This window comes from Homo sapiens, chromosome 15 (genome assembly GCF_000001405.40).
Source record: "Homo sapiens chromosome 15, GRCh38.p14 Primary Assembly".
Taxonomy (NCBI): Eukaryota; Metazoa; Chordata; class Mammalia; order Primates; family Hominidae; genus Homo; species Homo sapiens.
The window spans coordinates 73,635,431-73,655,243 of NC_000015.10; the positions used below are offsets into that span (position 1 = coordinate 73,635,431).

Below are 19,813 nucleotides of genomic sequence, written 5' to 3' on the forward strand. Positions count from 1 at the left end.
TTTTCTGTCAAATGGTGCTAATGATAGCACCTACCTTCCAAGATTATAGAAGGAATAAATGAGTAAATTTATGTGCAATGTTTAGAACAGTTTCTGGTGCATAGTAAACACTCATGTTGATGTTGATGCTGCTACTACAATTCTGACTCCAGCTTTGTATTCTTCTTCTTATCTCATGCTTGCAAAAAGTGATCTGGGAAGAACATTTTTAAGTATGGGTGTTACCAGTCAACTCTCAAAACCTGCAGTTATGAAAAAACCCTTTTACCCAGGGAGAAATGTCACCAAATTCCACATGATAGTAGCTGTACTTTGTCACTTTTCATCGAGAAAATACATAATAACTAAGACCTTTTAATAATTCTGTAATTTTTTTTTTGAGATGGAGTCTTGCTCTGTTGCCCAGGCTGGAGTGAAGTGGCGGGATCTCGGCTTACTGCAACCTCCGTCTCCCGGGGTCAAGAGATTCTTGTGCCTCGGCCTCCAAAGTAGCTGGGATTACAGGCATCCGCCAGCATGCCCAGCTAATTTTTGTATTTTTAGTAGAGACAAGAGTTTTGCCATGTTGGCCAGGCTGGTCTCAAACTCCTGACCTCAGGTGATCTGCCTGCCTCAGCCTCCCAAAGTGCTGGGATTACAGGCGTGAGTGAGCCACCATGCCTGGTCTAAGTCAGTAACTTCCTTTTTTTTTTTTTTTTTTTTTTTTTTTGAGACGGAGTCTCGCTCTGTCTCCCAGGCTGGAGTGCAGTGGCGCGATCTCGGCTCACTGCAAGCTCTGCCTCTCGGGTTCATGCCATTCTCCTACTTCACCCTCCCGAGTAGCTGAGACTACGGGCTCTTGCCACCACGCCCGGCTAATTTTTTATGTTTTTAGTAAAGACGGGGTTTCACTGTGTTAGCCAGGATGGTCTCGATTTCCTGACCTTGTGATCCACCTGCCTCGGCCTCCCAAAGTGCTGGGATTACAGGCGTGAGCCACCGCGCCCGGCCTAAGTCAGTAACTTCTTTAAAAGAATTTAGGAATTTGTATTTTTTTGTTGTTCAAGATTTACATACACTGTAAAAAAAAAAAATCTCTGCAAGTGTGTGTGGCTGTGCCAGAGGATGGCTGAGCTCTTTGCAATACCTTAGAAGAGCCCTAGGGGTCCTCAGAGCTCAAGCTGAGACACACTTACCTGGCCTCGAGGGACTGCTTGTAGTTAGGCTCTCCGTTGCTGATCGCGCCCCCTGGTGGAAAGGTCTGGAATACAGCATTCCCAACTGAAAGGCTTCGCGTGGTTTGGTTTGAACGTGATTCACTCAAGGATGTTAGTCAAAAGGCTTGTACTGTTCCTAGAGTTGACCTTGAACTTCCTAATGGTTTCCTCCCTCTTGTAAATATCTCTGCCCCTTTAAAGCTCTTGCTATTCAGATGACCACCCCACTCATCTTGATTGTTGTCATCCTCCGACCTCCCAGTCAATGTAATCTTTTCCCTGCCCCTTCCGATGCCTGCTGGCACCATCCTTGAACTTCATCCTTGGGTGAGTTCAACATCCATGTTCGTGACCTATTCAGTATCCTGATCTCTTAATCCTTTTACCTTCTCACGTCCAACAACTTTCTCCTCAATTAAACCAACACTTCTGAGCTCACACTGTCAACACTTTAATCACCCAAAAAGTACTTCATCTTTGAAATATGAAAATGTAATACCCCACTGTCCATTCACCAACACCTAGCCTTTCAGTTCCTTGTGCTAATACCCTATTTGCTGTAATTCTTCAACCTCACTGAGACCACTAATCTGCTAATACCACCAATTTGTCTTTATCCATTCTTCATTTCTTTCTTGGTCCAATTTAGAGCCCATGATTCATCATTATAATCATTCCCTTGCCCACCTCAACTTTCAACATACTTTCCTGGAAAAACCACGACCTGACTGAGCACTATAGTCTGAAGTAAGGTACCATGCCTGTACCTGAGCAGCTGAGTGTTGCCAGAGAAAAATCATACAAACCTTCTAAATGACTTCATTTTAAATTCATGATCTCAAACTTCAAAAGGATATTCAACACTACTCAGCAATCCTACTCTTTCATATGCGATAAGCATGAATTTGCAACTACAATGGTCACTTGCCAGAAATGCCTCATTTTTTTCTTTCTATAAATCAGATTTAATCTAGTCTGAGTACCTTTCTGCTGAGATGACAAGAAATTCAATGTTGGCTTTTATGAGCCTCCGTGACTACTTCCCAGGATAATATGAAATTCCTGGTGTTTTACACAGCCTAGGACATTCCTTTTTATTTGCTTTTTAGTTCACCATGGTGACTGCTGGTAGGAACATTGAGCAGATCCACGTGATTCCTTGAAGGTGAATGGCTCAGTGCTTCCCACCACTTCCCCCAGCAGCCTCACCCCACACCACATTCCCTTTCAGTTCTTTGTGATGGTTCTGCTTCATCTCACCTTGGGGGCCTTTGCATATTTTGTTCTCTTTGCCCCAAATACTGAACAACCCATCTTTTTTACCTGGTCTACTTCTCATCCTTTAGATCTCAGCTTCAACTCATCTCTCCTAATATGAAATTTTAAACCACAGTGAAGTGCCATTTCACATGCACATATTTAATTCAATAATTTTTAAATGCTGGGCACAGTGGCTCATGGCTGTAATCTCGGCACTTTGGGAGACCAAGGTGGGTGGATCAATTGAGGTCAGGAGTTCAAGACCAGCCTGGCCAACATGGCGAAACCCCGTCTCTACTTAAAATACAAAAATTAGCAGGGCATGGTGGCGCACATCTGTAATCCCAGCTACTCAGAAGGCTGAGACAGGAGACTTACTTGAACCCAGGAGGCGGAGGTTGCAGTGAGCCAAGATCACACCACTGCACTCTAGCTTGGGCGGCAGGATGACATTCTGTCTCAAAATAATAATAGCAATAATAATTTTTTTAAACCTGAAAATACCAAATATTGATAGGGATGTGGAGCAACAGGAACTCTCATACATTGCTAGTATGCAGATAAAAATGGCAAAATTACTTTGAAGAACTGCTGACAGTTTTCCATCAAGTTAAATACATATCTAATCTATGACCACCAATTCTACTCCCGAATCTCAGTGCCCAAGAGAAGTGAAATATATGTCTACAAAATGAATTGTACAAGAATGTTCATAGCAGCTTTATTCATAATAGCCAAAACAGGAAACAACCCAAATACTCATCAACAGATGAATGGATAAACAAACTGTGGACTAGTCATATGATAGAATACTACTCAGGAAAAATAAATAAGTAAATAAATTATTGACACACAACAACACGGATGAATCTCAGAAGAATGATACTGAGTGAAAGTGAGACAAAAAAAATGTATGTATATATATAGCATAGTTCTACAAAGTTATAGAATAGGCAAAACTAATTTACATTGACACAAATCAGATCAGTTTCAGTGGTTTCCTGGGACAGGGAGGGTATTGACTGAAAGGGACACAGGGGATGTTCTGGGTGATAAAAATTTTCTGTATCTTGATCTGGGTGATAGTTACGTTAGTGTATACATTTGTCAAAACTTATCGAAGCTACACCTCAATTTAAAAATGAAAACAAAAACATCTCCTTATCAAAGCCTTTCCTGGGCTCCACAACTCAGTTAAACCTCATTCTTTCTTTCTTTTTTTTTTTTTCCAGACAGAGTCTCGCTCTGTTGCCCAGGCTGGAGTTCAGTGGCATGATCTCAGCTCATTGCAACCTCTGCCTCCGGGTTCAAGTGATTCTCTTGCCTCAGCCTTCCGAATAGCTGGGATTACAGGCATGCACCACCACACCTGGTTAATTTTTGTATTTTTAGTAGAGACGGGGCTTCACCATGTTGGCCAGGCTGGTCTTGAACTCCTGACCTCAGGTGATCCACCCACCTCAGTCTCCCAAAGTGCTGGAATTACAGGCACGAGCCACCATGCCTGGCCTAAATCTCATTCTTAAACACACTGATTGTTCCATGCATATCTTCATGGCTCTTATCACAGCTGGGATTTTACATTTATTTGTGTGGTTATTCAACTTGCATCTGAATCCTTCTCTAGACCTCCAGGAGGAGGGAACCATGACCAATGGTATCAGTATTATTTACCACTGTATCTCTGTTGCAGGCTGAAAGAATGAGGGTCATGATCAACTCAGTATACCACTGGAGGCTCTGTGAGTAAACAGCAAACTGTTTTCATGAAAGCAGGATGTTGGCAAACTGACAAACTGCGTCTGCCGCCCAGAAGGAATGCTGAGGGCAGTCACGCCCCAAGCAGTGTTTCTTGTGGTTAGGCACATCTGAAGCCTGTTAGCAGTAATGTGAACCTGTGATCAATTAAGCAGCTGACCAATCGTTACCTCCTCCTCCCTGCTCTTTCTACCCAATAAATACGAAGGGCTGTAGAAGCTCAGGGCTGCCTTTGCTCACTAGAAGCAGGGAGCCTTCTTCTTCCCCGGACCCCTTCTTTAAAACGGTTTCTTTTGTTTTAAGTTTTCATTTCTGTATTCATCCTCCTTCGTTCAGTCCTGTGGTAACCATAGTAACCATGGCAAACTGCAGCATATCTCCAGTACCTACTACAGTGCCTGGCAGTGGGCATTTAGTGAATATCTCCTGAATGAATAGACAAAGCATACAGCTAGACTCAGAATCTCAGACTCTTGCCTCTCAATCCAGTGCTCCTTTCAGTCTGTCACTATGATGTTGGAGTCCAGTTCTGCCTCAAGGCCCGACTCTAATTCCACTTATTCTGGAAAACCATCTCTGTTCACCATTCATTCAGTCCTCATTAATTTCACAAATGTTGGGTGCATAGTCTGTGCAAGGGTATGGTATACAATGATGACAGGGAACATAGACATTGAACAACAATGATACCATTGCTTACTTAATGATAATTTTGGTCCATGATAAGAGTAGACATATTGGATGCTAAGGGAATATGTTACAGGGAAACCTAACTATGTCTGAGGTGGGAGGAGTGGTCAAGAAAGGCTCCTGGAGGAAGGGACAGCAAAGCTGTGCTCTGAAGGATGCTTAAGAGTTAGCCAGGCTGTCAGGCGCAGTAGCTCACGCCTGTAATCCCAGTACTTTGAGAGGCCAAGGTGGGCAGATCACCTGAGGTCAGGAGTTTGAGACCAGTCTAGCCAACTTGGTGAAACCCCTTCTCTACTAAAAATACAAAAATTAGCTGCACATGGTGGCACACACCTGTAATCCCAGCTACTTGGGAGATCGAGGCATGAGAATCACTTGAACCCAGGAGGTGGAGGTTGCAGTGAGCTGAGATCACACTACTGCACTCCAGCTTAAGTGACAGAGCATGACTCCATCTCAAAAAAAAAAGTTAGTCAGGCTAAAAAATAATAAACAACAAAAAATTATATCTAGAGGCAAAAATAAACTAAAAAATAAAAAACAAATGAACAAAAAAGAATTAGCCTGGCACAGATAAGGTAGGCCTAGGTAGGGGAGGTCTGTTCCAGGCAGGTTTAAAGGGTTGGAAGCAGGAAGGAGATTGTCAAGGTCTGCGGAGGATCCCAGTGTGCCTAGAGCTCAAACAGCAAGGAGAAGCGGGGCAAAAGGAGCTGAGGCTGAAGGAGGGGCATTGGGGCCATATCAGGCAATGCCTTGAGGACCATATTAAGGGTTTAAGATGTTGATCATCTATGAGGTAACCTGTAGCTTTCTTTAACAAAATCTAGTCCAGAACCTCTTTATTTGTCAATAAAAGAAATCTATCTGTAAATACCGTAATATATTAAAGCAGAATGAGTCGTTAAGCTGTGCTACCTATAAGCCTGATCACATGTTACTCTCCATCATCATTTCCTTCTATTAGTAACGTTTTACTTAGCTGTTCCTCCAGGCTCAGCTGTGCTGCACAGAATTAAGGGAAGGGCCATTTGTCCTTTGGGTCAGAACATAAATGGCCAGGAAGCCTCCCCTAAGGTCATGGTGTGGTGGCTGTTGTCTCCAAGTAGAAAGTGAATGCAGCACAGAGAACAATGCAATGAATTGTGAGGGAGGACCAGTTCTCCCTCCACACAAGGAGACTCTCTAGCAATTGCCAAGGCTGCATGTCCAGCCCTCAATGCTTCCTTCTGCCTCCCAATACCTATAAAGCTCCTCCCTATACCATTGAAAAATGTTACCAAGCCTTGCATGACGGGCTAATTTTGCACCTCTCCACATCCAGTCTCCCCATCTAGAACACGAGTTCATTATAACAACGTCTTACATGCTACAGCTTTTCACAGTTTACAAAGCATTTCCCACAATAGGAAAAATAAAGCATTCATTATCCCATTATTTCACTTGGTTATCACAACGACCAATCATGTTCATTTCATAAACAAGATAACTAGGCTTCAGAATGGAGAATGCCTTGTTCAAGGTCCCCAGCTGGCAGGTAATAGAGCCAGAATTTGAACCCAAGTCCTTTGGACCTCAAAGGAAATATGCTGAGGGTGGCTGAGTCACTTTCTTGGGGAAGATGATCTCTTGCAATGACCCTCCTCAGACACCATGAGTCTTATCTGAAGATAAAGCACTCTCTTTGGGCAAGTTCTCCATTCAAGATCTGCTAAGGCTGGTATAATGTTGTTTCACCTCCTGGCCCCAGAAGTTTGAGGTGCTCATAATTTCTTCAGGGAGCATCTTGGGTACCAGCTCTACTATGATGGCCAATGCTCAAATGGGGCAGGGCAACTAAACAGCTGAGGTAGGCTCTCTCCACTGTTGGGGTTGGGGTTTTAGTGGCTAATACAAGGCATTCTTTTAATCCCTTCTCAAACTTGGAAACAACTGAGAGACGGACACAGGAGTCAGGCATATGGAGGTCAAAATGGTGGAGAACATGGCTTAGTCTGCTGGCCAAGTGAGCTTGCTAACACTTTGCCCCTGAATTTGGCAGACTTATTCAGAGATGTTGGTAGTGCAGGAAAACCACAAGTCTCCCATGGCCACTGGAAAACTTAGGGCAGCATGGAGAAGCAGAACCACTCATCTGCTCTCTGTAGGACGCCGGTCCCAGGCTTGCTCAAGTCCTTCCGCCTCAGTTGTCCACCAGAAAACTCATTCCTGAAGCCAGGAGGGGAAGCAAGTAAAAGGAGGCCACACATGTCACAATAATGAAGTGATTCTCTGCCCCAGCTACACATTAGAATCAACTAGGGAGCTTGAAAAAAACACCAGTGCCAAAATAGATATACACAACAATGTCCAGGTTCCAGCCCCAGCGATTTAAATGCAATTGATCTGGGGATGGGGCCCAGCTTGCATAGCAGAGTAATGCACTTTAATGTGCTGTAATGCACTGCTTCTCGAATGTTGATGCACATTGGATTACCTGGGGAACCTTAAAAAATCCCAACCCTAGACCACACCAATTAAATCAGAATCCCTGGAGGGGAGACCCAGGCATCAGTATATTTTTAAGACTCCCCAGGTGATTCCAATATGCAGCCAAAATTGAGAACAGGTGCTCAAATGTGGTTGTGTTGTTGTTGTTATCGTTTCAAATTTGAGTGTTCAGCAGAATCACAAGAAATGTTTGTTAAAAGATGGACTTCTGGGCCTCACCCCCAGAGTTTCTGACTCAGTAGGTTTGGGTTGGGGGCCTGAGAATCTCCATTTCTAACAAGCTCCCAGGTGGTGTGGATACTACTGGTTTGGAGACCACACTTTGAGACCTGCTCCTTCACAGGGTGTGCAGAGAAGCGTTTCCTTCATCAGCTGAGAAAGCCATGGTAAGACCTGATGTGATAACTTTCATCCCTGCAGGTCCACAGAAAAATATGCCAAAGTCAGTAGCATTGGCCTACATGATGTTTTAAAGAGGGTTCATAGATTCTGACTTTAAAAAAGAGCTGCCTCATCGTGGCTAGTGTCAGAATGCCCAAGATGCTCTTTATTTTGGTGCTCTCCTTCTCACAGTTGGGAAACTCATTTCTGGTTTTTACCAGGTTAATGGTTGGTTATAGTTGAAACAGAGATGCCTTCTGAGTATTGACATTTTCTCTTGAGAAGTGCTCCCATCTACGTAGCTCTAATTGGACCACTCCATTCTTACAAGTCCCTGTTTCCCTGTTTCGTTCAGGGGTGGTCACCAGACTCAAGCCAGGCCATCCAGAAGCCCTGGAAAATTTTTGGGTTAAAACTGAGGAAAGAGAGTCAGTTTCTCTCTTCTCCGTGTTATAAGCTATGAGATGTGAGACTTGGGGTGAAACTAGGTTTCCTCTCTACTGTGAGCTCCTCAAGGACAGAGTGTTATTTACTGCCATATTTCTCAGTGTTTAGCATAGTTAGTGGCACAAAGCAGGGCATCAAATAAATATTATACACAGTTTTGATGAGGTATAAGTGACATACAATGAACGGTGCATATTTAAAGTATTCAATTTGATATGTTTTGACATATTTATACACTCTAATAAACAGATTTTCAGATTGAATTAAAAAAATAATACCCGACTATATGCTGTCTCTGAGATAGCCATTTCAAATATGAAGCCACAAATAGATTTAAAGTAGGAGAATTGAAAAAGTATCCCATGCAGACATTAATTAAAGAGAAGCCAGAATGACTGTATTCATATCAAAGTGGATTTCAGAAGAAGAAATATTATCAGGGAATCATAGTGATATTACATAATGATAATGGGGTCAATTCACCAGGAGCACATAACAATCCGAAATGGTGTGTACAACAGTGCTTTATTATGCATGAAGCAGAAACTGAAATGCAAAATAGACAAGTCCTCAATTATAGCTGGCTATTTTAACACCTTTCTTTCAGTGATTGATAGAAAAAGTAGACAGAAAATCTGTAAGGATATGGGAGACATACAACACAATCCATCAACTGGATCTAATAGCATCGTCTACCTAATAATAGCAGAATATGCATTCTTTCCAGGTGCGCACAGAGCATTCACTAAGATAGGCTGTGTTCCAGACTATAAAATAAGTCTCAACAAATTTAAATTTATTGCCAGGCACGGTGGGGCATGCCTGTAGTCCCAGCTATGCAGGAGGATCCCTTGAGCTCAGGATTTGAGACCAGCTTAGGCAACATAGTGAGACCCCCATCTAAAAAAAAATAAATAAAAAGTAGTGAAATCATGCAAACTATGTTGTCTAACCACAAAGGAATATACTACTAAAAGTCAAAAAGAAAAAGATATCTTGAAAATCCTCAAAGAATTGGAAATTGAACAACACACTTCTAAAAAGAAACCAAAGAATAAATAATAATGGAAATTTAAAAATATTTTAATAGTCCATTACATTAAAGAGATGTGAAAATAAGAAAACATATTTAGGGCCAGGCGCAGTGGCTTATGCCTGTAATCCTAGCACTTTGGGAGGCCAAGGCAGGTAGATCACTTGCTCTCAGGAGTTTGAGACCAGCCTGGGCAACATGGTGAAACCCCGTTTCTACAAAAAATACAAAAATTAGCTGGGCGTGGTGGCTTGTGCCTGTACTCCCAGCTACTTTAGGGAGCTGAGGCAGAAGATTCCCTTGAGCCCAGAAGGCAGAGGTTCCAGTGAATGGAGATGGCGTCACTGCACTCCAGCCTGGGTCACAGAGTGAGACCCTGTCTCAAAAAAAAAAAAAAAAAAAGAAGAAGGAGGAGGAGGAAACATATTTAGTATACTTATATTCACATTTATCTTTTCTCTTTTCTTTCTTTTTTTTTTTTTTTTTTGAGATGGAGTCTCAGTCTGTGGCCCAGGCTGGAGTGCAGTGGCCCAGCTCGGCTCACTACAACCTCCACCTCCCGATTTCAAGCAATTCTCCTGCCTCAGCCTCCCAAGTAGCTGGGATTATAGGCACATGCCACCATGCCCAGCTATTTTTTGTATTTTTAGTAGAGATGTTGTTTTGCCATGTTGGCCAGGCTGGTCTCGAACTCCTGAACTCAGGTGATCCACCTGCCTCGGCCTCCCAAAGTGCTGGGATTACAGGCATGAGCCACTGTGCCCAGCCACATTTATCATTTCTATACTCTTCATTCTTATGTGTGGATGCAAATTTCCATCTGGTATCATTTTCCTTCTGCCTGATGAACTCTCTAAACTTTTGCCTGAGAAAGTCTTTATTTCACCTTCTCTTTTGAAACATATTTTGGCTAGGCACAGCGGCTCACTCCTGTAAACCCAGCATTTTGGGAGGCCAAGACAGGAGGCCCAGGAGCTTAAGACCAGCCTGGGCAACATGGTGACATCTCATCTTAAAAAAATAGAAAAAGGAGAGAAAGAAAGGAAGGAAGGAAGGAAGGGTATTTTTTTTTTGTCAGGTATAGAATTCCAAGTTAACAGATTCTTTTTTCAATTCTTTAAAGATGTCATTCCATTATTTTTTGCTTGGCATAATTTCGGTGAAAATTCTACTATAATCCTTGCCTTTGTTCCATTGAACATAATACGTCGTTTTTTTTCTGGCCGCTATTCAATTATTTTATTTATCACTGGTTTTTCAGCAATTTGATTATAATGTGCCTTGATGTTTATTGTTTTCTTTATATTTGTTCCATTTGGAGTTCATTGAGCTTCTTGGATCTATAGGTTTATAGCTTTCCTCGAATTTGGAAAATCTTATGCCATTATTTCTTCTCATAAGTTTCTATTCTTCTACCCTTCTGCAACTCTAGTTACACTTATTTTATTTTATTTTATTTTATTTTATTTTATTTTATTTTATTTTATTTTTGAGATGGAGTCTCGCTCTGTCGCCCAGGCTGGAGTGCAATGGTGTGATCTTGGCTTACTCTCCACCTCCCGGGTTCAAGTGATTCTCCTGTCTCAGCCTACCTAGTAGCTGGGATTACAGGCTCCCGCCACCATGCCCAGAAAATTTTTGTATTTTTAGTAGAGACAGAGTTTCACCATGTTAGCCAGGCTGGTCTTGAACTCCTGACCTCAGGTGATCCACCTTCCTTGGCCTCCCAAAGTGCTGGGATTACAGGCGCGAGCCACCGCGCACAGCCTGTCACGTGTATTTTAGATCACTTGTTATCATCCCATAGAATCACTAGGCTTGTGTTTTGTTTTTGTTTTGTTTTTGAGACAGAGTCTCACTCTTGCCCAGGCTAGAGTGCAGTGGATCACAGTTCACTGCAGCCTTAACTTTCTGGGCTCAAAGGATCCTTCCATCTCAGCCTCCCAAGTAGCTGGGACCATACGCTTACGCCACCACACCCACCTAATTTTTGTATTTTTTATAGAGATGGAGTTTGGCCATGTTGCCAGGCTGGTCTCAAACTCCTGAGCTCAGGTGATCCACCTGCCTCGGCCTCCCGAAGTGCTGGGATTACAGGCATGAGCCACTGTGCCCGGCCACATTTATCATGGAGGAGGGGGAGGGGGAGGGGGGAAAGGGAGGAGAAGGATCTGCCCACTTCAGCCTCCCAAAGTGCTGGGATTACAGGCGTTCACTTTTTTTCATTCTCGTTTTTCTCTGTTTTCTTCATTTTGGGTAAATATTGCTATGTCTTCACATTCACTGACCTCTTTTTTCTAGTGTTTAACCTGCTCTCAATCCAAACTTGTATAGATTTCATTTCAGATAATTGTGTTTTTCATTCTAGAAATTCCATTTGGGTCTTTTAATATATTTTCTTTGTCTCCTCGTTATTTTTATGTTTTCCTTTTCATCTTAAGCATATTTGTAAGATTTAAAAATAGCTTTAAAATCCTTGTCTGCTAATTCTATCATCTTTGTCATTGCAGGTTTTTGGCTTTTTTTTTTTTTTTTTTAAGAGACAAAATCTCTGTCTCACTCTGTCACCCAGGCTGGCGTACAGGGTGACACAATCATAGCTCACTGCAGTATCCAATTCATGGGCTCAAGAGATCCTACTGCTTCTGCTTCCTAAGTAGCTGGGACTACAAGCATGCTCTACCACACCCTGCTAAATAAAAAAAAATTTTTTTTTGGACAGGTGGGGTCTCATGATGTTGCCCAAACTGGTTTTGAATTCCTGGCCTCAAGCAATAATCCCGCCTCAGCCTCCCAAAGCGCTGAGATTACAGGCATGAGTCACCGTGCCCAGCCCATTTCTAGTATTTTCTAATGATGCATTTTTCTCTTCACTATAGGTCATCTTCCTGCTGATTTGTATGCCTGGTAGTTTTTCACTGGATGCTCTACATGGTAAATTTTACCTTGCTGATTGCTACCCTTTGTTGCTTTTCTTTAAGGAGTATTGGGCTTTGTTTGGCATGCAGTTAAACTATTGCATATCAGTTTGATCTTTTTGAGGCTTGTTTTTCTGCAGTTACGGAATCAGAACAGCCATTTTTCTAGGTGTATTTATGTCTTCTGTCAAGGCCTTCTGCTTCTGAGAATGCCCTCTATTTTACAAAGTCTCTTTACTCTGGCTCATGGGAACAAAAACGAGTTCTAGCTGTGTGTGAGCTCCAGGAATTATTTGAACAACTGTTTTCCAGTGGTTTTTACCCCACCCTCCTGGAGTTTCACCCCAGGCATGTACAGATCATCACTCAGCCAAAGACTAGTTTAGAGGATCCTTTTGCAGATCTCTAGAGCTTTCTGGTGTGCAGCTTCCTCCTTCCCTGTAGGCTGCCCCACAGGTTCCACCTCAGCCTCCCCAAATTCCAGTCTCTGTCTTCTAAACTCAACAAGGCTGGTGGTTCTGGATGGGTCCCTCTCCCTGCGCTAGAGCCAGAAAACTGCCTGAAGGCAGCAATTGCAGAACTCCCAATACCTGTGCCCCTTCACTCAGGGATTGCAGTCCTGTGCTGCCCACGTTGTTTTATATATTTTGCTTGGTTTACTAGTTGTTTATAATGGGATTGCAATTTTTGTAGCACTTAATCCTTCATAGGAAGAAGTACAAGTTAGAGTTAACTACTTTTAACTGTTTCTCTTTTAGTTCTTCTACTAGTTGCTTTCATAAGGTTAAATAATATTCTGAAGCCAACATTTTTTTAATCTTTCAACTTCCTGCTATGAATGATGAAGATTCAGCCTACCCTCCACTTTCTCCATCCCTCTTCCCAGTTTGAATAGTTACGTGATGTTTTTGTTGTTGTTCTTCATTTACTGTGTTCAAGTATTCAGTAGTATACTTGACAATGTATTTCTCACGCCGTCATCTTTTTTTTTTTTTTTTGAGATGGAGTCTCACTCTGTCGCCCAGGCTGGAGTGCAGTGGTGCTATCTCGGCTCACTGCAAGCTCCGCCTCCCGGGTTCATGCCATTCTCCCACCTCAGCCTCCCAAGTAGCTGGGAATACAGGTGCCTGCCACCAGGCCCAGCTAATTTTTTTGTGTTTTTTAGTAGAGATGGGGTTTCATCATGTTAGCCAGGATGGTCTTGATCTCCTGACCTCGTGATTCGCCCACCTCCACCTCCCAAAGTGCTGGGATTACAGGCATGAGCCACTGCACCCAGTCACTCCATCATCTTTTGATAATATCTTTGGATCTTCAATTACTGTGTAAGATGAGGTTATTGGCTGGGCAAGGTGTCACGCCTGTAATCCCAGCAGTTTCGGAGGCCCAGGCAGGTGGATCACCTGAGGTCAGGAGTTTGAGACCAGCCTGGCCAACATGGTGAAACTCCGTCTCTACAAAAAATACAAAAATTAGCTGGGCTTGGGGGCGCACGCCTGTTATCCCAGCTACTTGGGAGGCTGAGGCACGAGAATCACTTGAACCCGGGAGGCAGAGATTGCAGTAAGCCCAGATGGCAGTGAGCCAAGATCACGCCACTGCTCTCCAGCCTGGGTGACAAAGCAAGACTGTCACAAAAAAAAGGTTTTTTGAAAAAAAAGATCTTGAACCCGGGTGGCAGAGGTTGCAGTGAGCCGAGATCGCACCACTGCATTCCAGCCTGGGCAACAGAGCGAGACTCCGTCTCAAAAAAAAAAAAAAAAAAAATGAGGCTAACACCCTACCCTTCCCTTCATTTCTATTTCCTGACTTCCAACTCCCTGCTTATTTAATAACCTATACCCTTTATTCCCACATTGCTGTAGTTCCTACCATTTATATTTTGCTGTGTAAACATATTTAAATCTTCTGTGCTTTGCCTAGGGATTACTTCCAAAAGTTGAAAACTAATAGAAAATAATGTATATTATTGTCATTAAGAAAATATTTACTGGCCAGGTGCGGTGGCTCATGCCTGTAATCCCAGCACTTTGGGAGGCTGAGGTGGGTAGATCACCAGGTCAGGAGATTGAGACCATCCTGGCTAACACAGTGAAACCCCGTCTCTACCAAAAATACAAAAAATTAGCCAGGCATGGTGGCATGTGCCTGTAATCCCAGCTACTTGGGAGGCTGAGGCAGGAGAATGGCTTGAACTTGGGAGGCGGAGGTTGCAGTGAGCCGAGACCACGCCACTGCACTCCAGCCTGGACAACAGAGCGAGACTCCACCTCAAAAAAAAAAAAAAAGAAAAGAAAAGAAAAAAATATTTACTGCAGAGCCAAGCTGTGTGATCAACTTACAATTCCTTCTTTATGAGGTCAATAATACAAACCCGTAATACTTGAATGAGTCGAGGTCCAATGGATTCTATTTTGCTTCATATTTGGACCATGACTTTGTTGTACACATTCTTTCCTAAAATTTCTAATTACCTTCCTCTTGTCGAGAAAACTAATGTAAGACTAAGCCACTAAGCTCTTCCAGCTTCTTATCTACCATTTTTGCTGAGAATCAATTCTACTCTTCTTCCTGAAGACATTCTTGTTGGATTCTACTGATCTGTTTTTCTTTTTCTTTTTCTTTTTCCTTTTTTTTGAGATGAAGTCTTGTTCTTTCTCCCAGGCTGGAGTTCAGTGGCACAATCTCGGCTCACTGCAACCTCTGCCTCCCAGGTTCATGTGATTCTCGTGCCTCAGCCTCCACAGTAGCTGGGACTACAAACATGCCTGCCACCACACTCGGCTAATTTTTGTTTCACCATGTTGGTCAGGCTGGTCTCAAACTCCTGACCTCTGGTGATCTACCTGCCTTGGCCTCCCAAAGTGCTGGGATTACTGGCATGAGCCACTGCACCTGGCCAACTGATCTGTTTTTCTGATATGAAATGATTGGCTTCTAGATCTGTTACAGTATGGTCTTAGTGAAACTCTTTTCCCCAGATGAGCACTACAGGAAGTATTGTAATGAACACTGGTAGATTCCCCAACTCACATCCCACTCAGAGGATTAGTCTAGATTAACAATAATAATCCCATTCATTTTGCTAGCGATTGGTTCAGAATTGTGACTCAATTCTGGCTAATGAGACACAAGAATAAATTAGCAAGGGGACTTCTGGGAAAGATTTTCGTCCCTAAGACGGGAAAAAACAGAAAACACAGTCCTTTTTCTTTGTCTGGACATTGTCATATCTAATTAGATATGACACCTGGAATTGTGGCAGCCATCTTGCTGTCAGCTTGAAGCTGAAGCCAACACTAAGGTGGCAGAACAGAGATATGGAAACAACCTGAGCTTCAGATGATATCATGGAGCTAATGACTCAACTAATTCTGGAAGCCCTGCATCTGGACTTTCTGTTTCCTTATTGCTTAAGCCAGTTTCCTGTCTCTTAGAACCAAATATTTTGTATGTAAAAAATTCTGTTAGTTTCTTGCACAATACTTTTTCTCCTCTTCTTTATTACTAGGAGAACCTCATTTTTTCCCACAGAGAGGCATTATACAAAAGAAAAGAAAGAAAGAAGGCAAGAAGGCAAGAAGGAAGGCAAGAAGGAAAGAAGGAAGGGAGGGAGAGAAAGAGGCTTTGCCCTTCAGATTCCTTTTTTCAGCTAGAGATGACTCTAAGACCCATCTAATTCTAGCGAATGAGATACAGATACAAATTTCTGAGTAGGGCCTCAGGAAAACCTTTTTAATGGGAATAAATTTGGTCTTCATACTTCCTCCTTCCTTCTCACTGAGAATGGAGATTTGATGCTTGGAATTACTGCAGCCATCTTGTGATAGGGAGGGTGAAGACCAAATGCTAGGGATGGCAGAAATGGAAAAAGAAGATGTCAGGAAAACTTAGGACATCCCTGAGCTGCTAAGCCAGTCATAAAATGCCTGTGACCAGACATTCTGTGATGTGGGAAAAATAAAACCTTATTTCTTTAAGCTGCCATTAATTGCAATATAGATAATACATCAAGAATCCAACCGCTTCCTCTTCCTTGGTTTTCACCTTCATTTTGCTTGATGATATCCTCAAGATTCTCTCTCTTAAAAAGTATGTGAGATAGATGCTTTCTTAGCCTTTGTCTGTCTGAAAATTCCTTATTTTGTTCTCATACTTGATTGATAGTTTGGATGTATTATACAGTGCTAGCTTAAAAACAATTTTCTCTCACAAGTCTTAAGACATTGCTCCATTTTCTTCTGGCATTTAATGTTACCGATGAGAAGTCCACTATTAATTTGATTTTGCACCAATGCAAGTAGTTTAAAAAATTTTGGGGGGGAGCTTTTAAAAAATTTTATTTTTGGTGTTCTGAAATTTCACAATGATATGTCAAGGTATGGGTCTTTTTCACTCATTATGTGCAATACTTGCTGGGCTCTTTCAATCTGAAAACTATTATGTCTTTATTACTTGAGATAAATTATGACCTTCTGTGCTCTTTTATTCTCTTTCTGAATGTTTGACTTTCTGTATTGATTGTCTCTTATATTTTCTATCATATTTCCCATCTCTTTTGCTTTTTCCTCTATGTTCTAAGAGATCTCCTTTATCTGCCAATTCTTCCATTACATTTCTAATTTCAGCCATTACAATTAAAATTTTAAGAACAGTTTCTTGGTTGGGTGTGGTGGCTCATGCCTATAATCCCAGCACTTTGGAAGGCCAAGGCAGAAGGATTGCCTGAGTCCAGGAGTTTGAGACCAGCCCATGCAACAAAGTGAGACCTTGTCTTCTTAGTAAATAACAACAACGACAAAATTAATAATAACAAGGAACAGTTTCTTATTCTATGATTGTTCCTTTACCATAGCAATCTATACTTGTTTATGGATATGTTATATTTTAAAAGTCTCTCTGGAAATATAGTTTGTAACGGTTTTCTGTTGTCTGCATTCTTTATTCCTTTTGAGCCAGTTTTTTAAAAAATATATTTTTATCATGATCTGTTTCTTTTATTTGTATGTGCAATGATATACATTTGCTTTTTTATATTTAAGAAAGAGAGGCCGGGCGCGGTGGCTCACGCCTGTAATCCCAGCACTTTGGGAGGCCGAGGCGGGCAGATCACGAGGTCAGGAGATCAAGACCATCCTGGCTAACACAGTGAAACCCCGTCTCTACTAAAAATACAAAAAATTAGCCTGGTGAGGTGGCGGGTGCCTGTAGTCCCAGCTACTCGGGAGGCTGAGGCAGGAGAATGGCGTGAACCCCGGGGGGCGGAGCCTGCAGTGAGCCGAGATCGCGCCCCTGCACTCCAGCCTGGGCGACAGCGAGACTCCATCTCAAAAAAAAAAAAAAAAAAGAGAAACCGTGTTGATTTTTCTGGGTACCAGTTTTGAGTTTCCTGGGTACTGCATGAAGCTAGGTCTGTTTTCCCATTTAGTATCTCCTGGAAGGAAAAAGTTGGCCAGGCATAATAATGAAGTTTGTTCATGAAGTTTGTTCCGGGCATAAGATGAAGTTTGTTACTATAGTGAGACTGGGCTAGGAGTTGACTTTTAGCACTGGGGGAAGGGTATTCTCTATGGTTAGTCCCATCTAGCTGAGCTCTACATGACTAGAGATAGCAAAGGGCGTGGTCTAAGGAGGGCACCTTGGGAAGTTGTTATGGAAAGACTTCCACTTAATCTCTGCTCTCATAACTTTTCTTTCCTCACCAGCCAGCTCTTGGGCTCTGCTGGGTGTACCTGCCCCTCAGCTTCCTTCACTTACTCTGCACAGTGGGCCCACTTCTACTTCTCATCCATCAGCGGCTTCTCTCCACTTACTATTTTCTGCAAATCTCAGAACGTCTCTTTTTGGTGATGGTCTACTCTCATTCTCTGCTCTAATCAGATCATTTTCTTCTGCTTTTTTTTTTTTTTTTTTTTTTTTGAGAAGAAGTCTTGCTGTGTCGCCCAGGCTGGAGTGCAATGGCATGATCTTGGCTCACTGCAACCTCCACCTCCCGGGTTCAAGCCATTCTCCCACCTCGGCCTCCCAACTACAGGCGTGCACCGCCACGCCTGGCTAATTTTTTATATTTTTAGTAGAGACGGGGTTTCACCATGTTGGCCAAGCTGGTCTTGAACTCCTGACCTCAAGTGATCCGCCCACCTTGGCCTCCCAAAGTGCTGGGATTACAGGCGTGAGACACCACGCCTGTTCTCATTTTCTTTTACTGGCATTCTAATTGAGTTTCAGGAGGGAGAGAAGGCAAATGTTTGTGCTTGGTCCATCATCTTTGCTAAAATTTTATTTTTAATTTTTCATCCATCTTCATAAATGAGATTGTTATATAGCTTTTCTTTTCCTTTATGTCATGTTTCTTTGGTTTTGGGTTCAGGGTTACAGGAACTTTAAAGAATGGTTGGTTCACATTCCATGTATTTCTATGCCCTGGGATAGTTTAAATTCATCCACATATTGATCCAGTAACTTACTGCATTACAGTCACCTGGGAATATATTTTAAAGTACATATTTCACTTGTCTTCGTATAATCACAGGAAAAATATGGAAGGATGTATATAAGTTGTTACATTTATACACAAACTAATAAAATTTGTTTCAGCAGGAGTAAGATCAGGGAGAAAATGGGGAGACAATTTTTCTTTTGTATATTGTTGGATGTTTTTTACAACCACTAAATGTAACTTCTGAAATGAAAAAAAAAAATCTTTATGAAAAATATAGATTCCCAGGCCAAATTTTGGAGACTTAAGTTTGTTGAGTCTGGGAAGCCAGGAAATCTATATATGTTTTTAAAAATGTACCTAGGTAATTGTGATATGCAATCAAGTTTAGAAACCCCTAGTATAGATATTATAGGAATTAGTTTTTTCTTGAAATTGTGAAGTACTTACCTATAGAACCCCACAGCCCTGAGGCTTGGTGGGGGAGGGCAGGGCAGGTGGACGGAATGTCGTTCTTTGACTCCTTTTTACAATTTGTCTTGTAGAGATCAAAATATGCCACTCCAAAACATGCCACTTTGGCATACAATTATTTCAGATTCAACAGATGCAGAAAGAAGCCATCTCAGAGCTTCCCTTATCTCATGAGAAGCAGAAACTTCTGAGAAATGAGGACTGCTGTAAATCTCCTCTTCTAGGGAAGTTTTATGGCCACAGAGAAGATGAAGTTGGCGCCAAGATGGATCTGCACAAACAAACCTTACTCCATTAATTTCCCTCATATATTTACTTTCCCATGGTTTACTGCCTTTGGGAGCCTAAGATTTTTTTTTTTTCCTTTGACTTGTCACTTCTCTACGAATTTATTGTTCTTTGTTAAGATGCATAAACCCACATTCTAACCACCTCTTTGAGTTTTTCATCATATCACTGAGTTTCTCCTGGGTACACGCCCACTGTACATGCTAATAAACTATTTGTTTTTCCCTTGTTAATCTGTTTTTTCTCAGTTAATTTTCAGAGCCCCAGCCAGAGAACCTATGTGGGTAGAGGAAAAAGCTCCCACCCTCTTACCGTCAATTTTGGTATTTTATGCATCTCCTGGGAAATCATCCATTCTATTAAATTTATTAGTGAAAAATTAGATCTACTAATTTTTTATTAGCTGTACACTTACCCTTTTTATCTTTATTTTGAACTCCTT

The 19,813-nt window shown here is 42.0% G+C and overlaps 1 long non-coding RNA gene across 1 annotated transcript; it reads left to right on the plus strand.

The window, feature by feature from the left end:
• The first annotated feature begins 986 nt into the window (after nt 1-986).
• LOC105370891 (uncharacterized) lies at nt 987-19,604 on the plus strand. Its single transcript, XR_932451.3, has 3 exons — nt 987-1,307; nt 12,132-12,186; nt 19,155-19,604. It is a non-coding gene; the product is annotated as an uncharacterized LOC105370891 (long non-coding RNA).
• The last annotated feature ends 209 nt before the right edge of the window (nt 19,605-19,813 follow it).